This window comes from Homo sapiens, chromosome 16 (genome assembly GCF_000001405.40).
Source record: "Homo sapiens chromosome 16, GRCh38.p14 Primary Assembly".
NCBI classification, from domain to species: Eukaryota; Metazoa; Chordata; class Mammalia; order Primates; family Hominidae; genus Homo; species Homo sapiens.
In genome coordinates, this window is record NC_000016.10 from 57,488,167 (window position 1) to 57,499,518 (window position 11,352).

The window sequence follows — 11,352 nt, forward strand, 5'->3', positions numbered from 1 at the left end:
TCCCAAGGTGCTGGGATTACAGGCATGAGCCACTGCACCCCATGTGATGATTTGCTTTTTTACTGTTGAATTTCGAGAGTTGTATATTCTACCTACTAGTCCTTTGTTGAATATGTGGTTTGCAAATATTTTCTCCCAGTTTTTGGCTTGTCTTTTCATCCACTTAACAGAGTCTTTCACAAAACAAAAGTTTTAAATTTCGATAAAGTCTGAATTATCCATGTTTCCTTTTATGGATCACACTTTTGTTGCCTAATCTAAAAACTCTTTGAATTTTCTCCTGTGTTTTATTCTGAAAGTTCCATAATTTTATTTTACATTTAAGTCTGTGATCCATTTTGAGTTGAATTTTATAGGAAGTGTGAGATTTGATAGAGGTTTTGATGTCTTTTTTTGGTTTAGGTTTGATTTCATTTTTTTTTTTTTTTGCCTGTGGATGTCTGATTGTTCTAGCTCTATTTGGTGAAAAGACTCTCATTGAATTGCTTTTGCAACTTCGTAAAAAATCAGTTGGACATATTTCTGGATTCTCTGTTCTATTTCACTGATCTGCATGTCTATCTCTCTGTTAATAACAGTCTTGATTACTATGCCTATATAGTAAGTCTTAAGGCCAGGAGCAGTGGCTCATGCCTATAATGCCAGTACTTTGGGAGGCCAAGGCGGATGGATTACTGGAGGTCAGGAGTTCAAGACCAGCCTGGCCAACATGGTGAAACCCCATCTCTACTAAAAATACAAAATTAGCTGGGTGTGGTGGCGTGTGCTCGGGAGGCTGAGGCAGGAGAATCGCTTGAACCTGGGAGGCAGAGGTTGCAGTGAGCCAAGATCGCGCCATTGCACTCCAGCCTGGGCAAAAAGAGTGGAACTCTGTCTCAAAAAAAAAAGTCTTAAAATCAGGTAGACCAGTGGTCCCCAACTTTTTGGCACCACAGACAGTTTCATAGAAGATAATTTTTCCATGGATGTTGTGGGAGTGTTTTCAGCATGATTCAAGCACAATACCTTTATTGTGCACTTTATTTCTATTATGATTACATTGTAATATATAATTAAATAATTACACAACTCACCATAATGTAGAATCAGCGGGAGCCCTGAGCTTGTTTTCCTGCAATTAGACAGTCCCATCTGGGGGTGATGGGAGACAGTGACAGATCATCAGGCATTAGATTCTCATAAAGAGCCTATGACCTAGATCCCTCGCATGCACAGTTCACAATAGGGTTTTGTTCCTATGAGAATCTAATGCTGCTGCTGGTCTGACAGGAGGCGGAGCTCAGGTGGTAATGTGAACAATGAGGAGCGGCTGTAAATACAGATGAAGCTTCATTCATAGCTGCTCACCTCCTGCTGTGCAGCCAGGTTCCTAACAGACCACAACCAGTACCGGTCTGTGGCCCAGGGATTGGGGACCTCTGAGGTAGATTGTTATTAATTCCTCCCAAGTTATTGGTTTGTTTGTTTGCCACAAGGTTTCACTCTGTCCCCCAAGCTGGTGTGCAGTGGCATGATCATAGCTCACTGCAGCCTTGAGTGCCTGGGCTCAAGGAATCTTCCACCCTCAACCTCCTGAGTAGCTGAGACCACCATGCCCAAGTAATTTTTTAAATTATTGTGTAGAGATGGAGTTCTTACTATGTTGCCCAGGTTGGTCTCAATCTCCTGGCCTTAAGTGATCCTACCAGCTTGGCCTCCCAAGTGTTGGGATTACAGGCATGAGCCAATGCGCCCAGCCCCAACTTACTCTTTTTCAAAATTGTTTCAGCTGTCCTGGTAATATTCTCTATCTTTCTATGTAAATTTTAGAATAATGTTATCTATATCTACAGAATATCTTGCTGGGATTCTGATAGAAATTACATTAAACCTGTATATCAATTGGGGAGCATTGACATTTTTACTATGCTGAGTCTTCCAATTCAAGAACACAGTATGTCTCTCCATTTATTTATTTATTTCTAATGTCTTTCATCAGCATTATGGAGTTTTCAGCATACAGGTCCTATACACATTTTGTTAGCTTTCCACCTAATTATTTTATTTACTTATTTTTGGTGATTTTAAATGGTATTGCATTTTTAATTTTGCTGCCCATGAATGAGTTCATTGCTGGTATATGGAAATAATTTTTGTATAATTATATTTTGCAACCTTGCTGAACATATTAGTTCTAGGAGGTTTTTGTCTTTTTTTTTTTGGTAGATTCTTTGAGATTTTCTACATAGATAATCATGTCATCTGCATGTAGAAAAGGTTTTTTTCCTCTTTTTCTACCTATTTGTTAGTGGTTTATCACATTGGCTAAAATGTTCAGCACTATGTTGTAGTATGAGCTGACATCCTTACCCTGTTGCTGATCTTCGGGGAGAGCATTCAATTTTTCATCATTAAGGACCAACGTTAGCTGTAGGTTTTTTGTAGATGCTCTTTATCAAATTGTGGAAGTCCTCCTCTCTTATTTTTTGAGAGCTTTTTACCATTAATGAACGTTTAATTTAGTCAAATGCTTTTCTATACTAATATATGATTTTTCATCTTTAGCCTGTTTTTTTGTTTGTTTGTTTGTTAGTTTTTTTCCTTGAGACAGAGTCTTGCTCTCTTGCCCAGGCTGGAGTGCAATGGCACCATCTCTGCTCACTGCAACCTCCGCCTCCCAGGTTCGAGCGATTCTCCTGCCTCAGCCTCCTAAGTAGCTGGGATTACAGGTGCCTGCCACCACACCCGGCTAATTTTTGTATTTTTAGTAGAGACAGGGTTTCACCATGTTAGCCAGGCTGGTCTTGAACTCCTGACCTCAGGTGATCCACCCACCTCGGCCTCCCAAAATGCTGGGATTACAGGTGTGAGCCACTGCGCTGCACCTGGCCAGTTTTCTTGTCTTTCTTTTTGTGCTACCTTTATCTGGTTTTAGTATCAGGGTACTGATTTTATAGAATGAATTGAACAGAATTCACTCCTATTTTCTGAAAACAATTTTGTAGAATTAGTATTATTTTTTTAAATGTTTGGTATAATTCTTCAACAAAAACATCTGAGTCTGGAGTTTTAAAATTATAACAATAATAATTTTTTTAAATAAAATGAGATGGGGGCTCTCGTGATGTTGCCCAGGCTGATCTCAAACTCCTAGGCTCGAGTGAACCTGCTGCCTTGGCTTCCCAAAGATATTTCTTTTTTGGGAGTTTTAAAATTTAAAATCTAATTTCCTTAATTGTTACAAGACTACTCAAATGAACTATTTCATGTTAAATGAATTGTAACAGTTTGTGTCTTTGGGGGAAGTAGTTATTTCATCTAAGTTGTCAACTTTACAATAATAATAAACATTACCTTATTATTATTATTATTGATGTCTTCAGGTTTTATAGCAATATTCCTTATTTCACTTCTGATGTAGGTATTTGTGTCTTCTCTGACATTTTTACTCTGTCAGTCTTGCTGGAGGTTTGTCAATTTTATTGATCTGTTCAAAAAAACCAAATCTTTGTTCCACTAATTCTCTCTCTCTCCCTCTCTCTCTCTTTCTCTCTCTCTCATTTTAGATTTCATTGATTTCTGCTCTTATCTTTATTATTCCCTTACTTCTGCTGGTTTTGAATTTATTTTGCTGTTTTTTTCTAGGTCTTTAAGGTGTCAGTCTATCAAGTTTAGATGATATAGAGTTCAGATGACAGATATAAGACTTTTCCTCTTTTCTAAGGTGAAATAAATGTCCATATTAGTGCTGCTTTAGGTGTATTCCACAAATTTTGATATGTTTTACTTTCGCTGTCATTCAGTTCAATGTATCTTTTAAAAAATTCCCTTGAAACGTTCTCTTTATCCATGGATCATTCAGAAGCGTACTGTTTAATTTCTAAGTATTTGGATAATTTCCTGTTCTCTTTGTGTTACTGATTTCTAGTTTGATTCCATTGTAGCCAGAAAAAAACACTCTGTAAGATTTCAATTCTTTTAAACTTGTTGAAGTTTGTTTTATGGCCAGGACATGGTCTATCTTGGTATATGTTCATGAGCACTTGAAAACAAGGTGTGGGCCCGGTGTGGTGGCTCACGCCTGTAATCCCAGCACTTTGGGAGGCTGAGGCGGGTGGATCACTTGAGGCCAGGAGTTTGAGACCAGCCTGGACAGTACGGTGAAACCCCATCTCTACTAAAAATACAAAAATTAGCCAGATGCGCTTGCTTGGACCCAGGAGGCGGAGGTTGCAGTGAGCCAAGATTGTGCCACTGCACTCCAGCATGGGCGACAGAGCAAGACTCTGTCTCAAAAAAGAAAAAAAAGAAAACACGGTATGTTCTGCTGTTCTGAGGTAGAGTGTTCTAAAAATATCAGTTAGATCCTGTTGGCTGATGCTGTGGTTAAGTTCTGCATCTTTTCTGATTTTATATCTAGTTGTACTATCAATAGCTGGAAAGAGGTGTTGCTATCTCCAACTATAAGTGTGGATTTGTCCATTTCTCCTTTCACTTCTATCAGTTTTTGTTTTGCATATTTTGTAGTTCTCTTGCTTGGTGCATGTGTATTAAGGATTTCTTTTCTTTTCTTCTTCTTTTTTTTTTTTTTTTTTTTTTTGATATGGAATCTTGCTCTGTCGCCTAGGTTGGAGTGCAGTGGTGCGATCTCGGCTCACTGCAATCTCCGCTTCCCGGGTTGAAGTGATTCTTCTGCCTCAACCTCCTGAGTAGCGGGGACTACAGGGGTGTGCCACCACACCTGGCTAATTTTTGTATTTTTTGTAGAGATGGGGTTTCACCATATTGGCCAGGCCAGTCTCGAAATCCTGATCTTGTGATCTGCCTGCCTCGCCCTGCCAAAGTGCTGGGATTACAGGCGTGAGCCACCATGCCCGGCCCTGTATTAAGGATTTCTATATCTTCTTGATAGATTGACACTTTTACTATTATATACCGTCCCTCTCTGTCTCTGGTAGTTTTCTTTGCTCTAGAGTCTACTGTGATGGTTAATTTTGTGTTAAGGGATACCAAGATAGGTGGAAAAGCATTATTTCTTTCTTTTCTTTTCTTTCTTCTTTTTATTTTTATTTTTTGCTAATTTATTTTTTTTGAGACAGAGTCTCGCTCCGTTTCTCAGGCTGGAGTGCAGTGGCGCGATCTCGGCTCACTGCAAGCTCCGCCTCCCAGGTTCACGCCAATCTCTCGCCTCAGCCTCCTGAGTAGCTGGGACTACAGGCACCCGCCATCACGCCCGGCTAATTTTTTATTTTATTTTATTTTATTTTTTGTATTTTCAGTAGAGACGGGGTTTCACCGTGTTAGACAAGATGGTCTCGATCTCCTGACCTCATGATCCACCCGCCTCGGCCTCCCAAAGTGCTGGGATTACAGGCGTGAGCCACCGCGCCCGGCCTCTTTTCTTTTCTTTTTAGATGGAGTCTCGCTCTGTTGCCCAGGCTGGAGTGCAGTGGCGTGATCTCGGCTCATTGCAAACTCTGCCTCCGGGTTCAAGGGATTCTCCCACCTCGGCCTCTGGGTAGCTGAAATTACAGGCGTGTGCCACCAAGCCCGGCTAATTTTTATAATTTTAGTAGAGACAGGGTTTCACCATGTTGGCCAGGCTGGTCTTGAATCCTGGCCTCAGGTGATCGCCCGCCTCGGCCTCCCAAAGTGCTGGGATTATAGGCATGAACCACTGTGCCTGGCCTCAGCCATTATTTCTTTGAGTACTTTTTTTAGCCTTGTCTTCCTTCTTCTCTCTTTCAGGGACTCTGATGGCACAAATACTAAATCTTTTGTTACAGTCCTACAGGTCCTGTATTTTTCAGTGTATTTTCTCTCTGTTGTTCAAATTGGGCAATTTCTATTGCTCTCTCTTCCAGTTCACTGACTCTTTCCTGTTCCCCAATTCTACTATTCAGCCCACCCACTGAGGTTTTTATTTCAGTTATTGTGTTTTTCAGTTCGAAAATTCCCACTGGATCTCTTTATACCTTCTGTTTCTTTGCTGAGACTTTCTATGTTTTATTTTTTACTTGTTTCAAGCATGTTCGCAGTTGGTCCTTGAAGCATTTTATGATGGCCACTTTAAAATCTTTGTCAGATAATTCCAACATCTCTGTCATCTCAGTGTTGAAATCTATTGATTGCCTTTTTTTCATTCAGTATGAGATTTTTCTGATTCTTGGGATGAGTGCTTTTTGCAAACCTGGATATTTTCATATTATGTTATGAGACTTTGGAGTTTGTTTAAGCCTCCTGTTTTAGCTGGCTTTCTCTGATTACTGCTCCAGCAGGGGTAGGGGAACACCACCTAGTTACAGTTAGGTGGAGATAGAAGTCCACGTTCTCCACTTGGCCTCTGTTTATATCTTGCAGGAGGCTGCCCACTCATTACTATTGGGCAGGGATGGAAGTTCCAGCATCCTCATGTTCTCCACTGATACCACTGTGGAGGTGGCTTCATTACTACTGGGCAATAGTGAAAGACTTGACTCTTCACCTCTGACACCACCCCAGAAGGTAGGGAGAGAGACACTTCATTACTACCAGGTCAGGTACATGTCCAGGCTTCCCATGTGGTCTACACTGACACGGCAGCAGGAGAGTCTCAATTTTGGCTAGTGGGAAAGTTAAGGTGACTTGTTATAGACTGACGAGGGCAGAAATCTAGAGTCCTGGACTGGGCGCAGTGGCTCACACCTGTAATCCCAACACTTTAGGAGGCTGAGGTGGGAGGATTGCTTGAGCCCAGGAGTTTGAGACCAGCCTGGCCAACATAGCAAAACCCCATCTCTACAAAAAAAAAAAAAAAATTAGCCAGGTGTAGTGGTGTAAGACTGTATTCCCAGCTATTCGGGAGGCTGAGGTGGGAGGATCACCTGAGCCCAGGAAGGTCGAGGCTGCAGTGAGCTGAGATCATGCCATTGCATTCCAGCCTGGGTGACAGAGCAAGACCCTGTCTCAAAAGAAATCTAGAGTCTCCACTAAGCCTTCGCTGGTATGGGTGGAGGTGAGACCAATTTTTGTTATGTTTTGTTTTGTTTTTGTGATTTTTGGCTGGAGCTGAGTGGTTATTGTCTAAGCATTTTGTCTAGCCAGGATGTCCCTTTCTTGGTCCTTTGGCTGGAGAGAGCAGGCTTTTCTCATTTGGTGGTGTTTCTTGCTCTGTGCCCACTGACATTTCTGGGTTGCTGGCCTTTTCAGCTCCAAGTATGCCATGTATGAGGCAAAAGGAAAACCCAGGAAAGTCATCACTGTGTTGTTGCTTGAGTCCCACGTTCCCTAGTCTGTCTGCCTTCTTCTCTCCATCTTTCAGAGTCTTCTTGTGTTTGTTTTGGATATAACTTCCAGGGCTTTTAGTTGTACTTACTGGGAGGAATAGGAAAAAGTAGGCCTACTCCATCATCCCAGAAGCAGAAGAACCAACTCACTTAAAAAAATAAAGAAATAAGCACCAGCTCTGCTCTGCCCTTGAACTAGGCAATAAGCAATAATATCCATTAAATCACAGGTCCGATGGTGCTAGTTTGTGTGTGTGTGTGTGTGTGTGTGTGTGTGTGTGTGTGTATGTATATGTATAAATAGTTTTGTTGAAGTATACGACATGCAGTAAACTTCACGTATTTAAAATGTACAATCTGATGAATTTTGACATAGTTATACACACAGGAAACTAAGAACACAATCAAGTTAGTGCATATATCTATCATTTTATAGTATTTTTCTTCCTTACAATCCTTCTTTGTCATTTCCCTGCCCCGTCAGTCCCCAGGCAACCATTGATTTACCTTCAATCACTATCTATTAGCTTACATGTCTATTTATTTATTACATATAGGGTCTCATTCTGTCACCCAGGCTGGAATGCAGAGGCGTGATCGTGGTTCACTGCAGCCTCAACTTCCTGGGCTCAAGCAGTCCTCCTGCCTCAGCCTCCCAAGTAGCTAGGGTTATTGGCACGTGCCACCACACCTGGCTAATTAAAAAAATTTTTTTTATTTTTTGTAGAGACAGTGTCTCACTATGTTGCCCAGGCTGGTCTCAAACTCCTGGGCTCAAACCACCCTCCTGCCTCAGCCTCCCAAAGTGCTGAGATTACAGGTGTGAGCCATTGTGCCTGGCCAGCTTGCATTTTAAAATAATTTAATAGATGTATACATACATTGGAATATGGCTCAGCAATAAGAGGAACGAACTACTGCAACAACATAGATGAATCTCAAAATAATTACACTGAGTAAGAGTGAAGGAAGCCAGACAAGTACATTCTGTATGATTCCATACACACACGTGTGCACACACACACAGAGACACACACACATATGCATACACACAATGCATATGATATGTATCACAATACAGCATATACAATATATACATCCATCACATATCAAAATCTGAAACTGTTTCATTCATGTGTTACCTGGAATCGAGTATTTGCAATCTATTACTATGAACAATCTTCCCAAGGTCCAGTTTCCAAATCTGACCTTAGAAGTTGCACCCTGTAGGTGTTCATGCCACCCTTGGGTGTGGGCAGGGCCGGGGGTTGTGGACACTGTGGAAGACCAAGAATTGATTAAGTGGAGACTGAAGGGTGTGTCTCAGCTGCAACCTGATGTTCCTCTGGTTGTGAGGCCATTGGCAAGTGCTTCTCCTTCCTGGAACCTCAGGGCCCCCAGTCATGAGTGGGGCTGGGTATGGTGGCTCACACCTGTAATCCCAGTACTTTGGGAGGCTGAGGCTGGAGGATCACTTGAGGCCAGGAGTTTGAGAACAGCCTGGGAAACAGAACGAGATCCTCATCTCTAAAAAAAAAATTGTTAAATATTAGCCAGGTGTGGTGGTGCATGCCTGTAGTTCTAGATACTCAGGAGGCTGAGGCAGGAGGATCACTTGAGCCCAGGAGTTGGGGGCTGCAGTGAGCTATGACAGTGACACTGCACTCTGTCTGGGTGACAGAGCAAGACCCTGTCTCAAAAAAATAAATTAAATCCTTGATGGGACCCAGGGCTGCACTGAAATTTATAGATGACGGTCTCCGCTCCACCCCCCGGCACTGCCTAGGAGAGGTTAAATGAGGATGGTGTGACTGGGCACACCCCTCTAGCTCATGGCCAGGGGCCTCAGCCTGTTTCAGTCCAGCATTGATGCTGGGCCTGAGGCCAGGAGGGGCTGGGGGCAGCACGCTGGTCCCAGCTGTGTTTGCTTTATTAGATCCTTTGGGCCCGAGCCTGCAGAGCCGAAAGGCCGCCGTCACTGTCGTGGGGGGTTGGCAGTCCATTCAGCCCCAAACGACCCTCACCAGGGCCCCTCAGCCCCACCCGGCCGATGGATTTTATTGTCTTACATTTTCATTCCTCGGCCACACTCTTTCTAGGTGGGAAGACTGGCTTTACTCCTCACCTGAGCATTATTGGGGCTTTTGGTGGCTCTGGGTGCTGGCTTTTGCCCCAATTTGTCTGGGAGGAAATGGGCTTGAGCAGCCACAAAGGAGAGAGATGGAGAGATGGCAGGACCAAGCTGGATGCTCTCCTGGGCGGTATCTGGTGAAGCCTGGGGTTGTGATGGCAGCCTTCCCTCGTCCGGGAGGGAACACCAAGGCCCTGGTAATCATGACCTCCAGTCAGAATGTGATGCTGAGGGAAACTGAGGCAATTGAGTAAGGGGCAGTGAATGAGGTGGACTCAGTTCTGCACTTCTGTTTCCCCCTGGAAATGGGGGTGGGTGAACCTCACACGGCCTGCCCAAGAGGCTGTGCTGTAAAGGACGAGAAGATTCCAGGCAGAGAAGGGTGGTGCTAAAGTACATACGTTCTAGAGCCAAACCACACTGTCCGAGCCCTGGTTCCACACTTGGGCAACTCACCTCACCTCTCTGTGCCTCAGCTTTGCCATCTGTATTGTGGGGCTCCGACATGTGGGGATGTGATTGCACCTCCTTTACCCACCCACCCACCCACCCACCATGGGCTGTTTTGGGGGTGGTGTGGGGCAGTGTTCTGTGAGGGGTTACATGCTGGACTCTGATTACCTCCTGGGCACAGATGGTAGCCCACGCCTCAGGGCCTAACCCAGGCATCTACTGGGAGAGGGTGGGAAGGAGGAGGCGTCCCTGGCAATCTACACTGAGAATGGAGGCAGGGAAGGGTCTGGGGCCAATCCCAGCTCCACCTTGGGTCCTTTCACCATTGAGAGCCTCAATTTCCTCCTCTAGAAATGAGAACACTAAGAGTTCAGTGAAATAAGACCTGTGGAAGCAACCACCTGGTTCATGGAATGGAGGGAGGCCTGTCGTCACAAGTACTGAGGGGTTTTATTTTTGCTTTGTTTTTGTTTTTGTTTTTGTTTTGAGATGGAGTCTCGCTCTGTCACCAGGCTGGAGTGCAGTGGTGCGATCTTGGCTCACTGCAACCTCCGCCTCCTGGGTTCAAGCAATTCTCCTGCCTCAGCCTCCCGAGTAGCTGGGACTACAGGCACACACCACCATGCCCAGCTAATTTCTATATGCTTTTGTTTTTTGAGATAGGGTCTCACTGTGTTGCCCAGGCTTGATTGCAGTGGTACGATCATGGCTCACTGCAACCTCGAATTCCTGGGCTCCAGCGATCCTCCTGCCTCAGCCTTCTGAGTAGCTGGGACTACAGATGTGCGCCACCATGCCTGCTTGACTAATTTTCATATTTTTTGTAGAAACAGGGTTCTATGTTGCCCAGGCTGGCCTCAAGCAGTCCTCCAGCCTTAGCCTCCCAAAGTGCTGGGATTACAGGTGTGAACCACTACACCCAGCCAACCACTGTTTTAATCATCTTCTCTGGGCCTTAGCCCCGCAAACCTGAAGTTTTCACCCAGGAAAGGCAAAGCCCTTCTGTGGCGTGACTTTTCCATGCCCTTGACCTCCAACCATGTTTATACCGTACACGAAAGTTTTCAGGGAATTTTTGCCCACGCTATAAAATCATTTCCCAGGCCCGGCCATTCTAGCTACTCTGTGATTTTTGCCAGATTCAAGCATCTCCTCTACTATTATTTGCTCAAGACCTTTCTTTAAATCACCTCACATTTTTCTATTTGCCTCAAGAACAAACTGTATAAATAAAATACCTTGAAAATAAGACAAGCACATTCAACCGGGGCTGGCAAACAATGCCTGCCTGGAAAGCTGTAAGGCTTTTGTTAAAAGGCGTTCAGCACATGTCAGAGAGAGGACAAACCCATGCTACCACCTGTCTGAGGCGTTCCCCTTGACAATAGTCAGAGAAGGAAAAGAAACACGAATAGGGAATTGCTTTCTCATAGTTCAGCCCAGTGTTGGTTAAGGCCATTTAGTGGAGTGTGGCTCAAATCACTGTATATATCACCATGGTGTGCTCCACACCTGGGGAGTCAC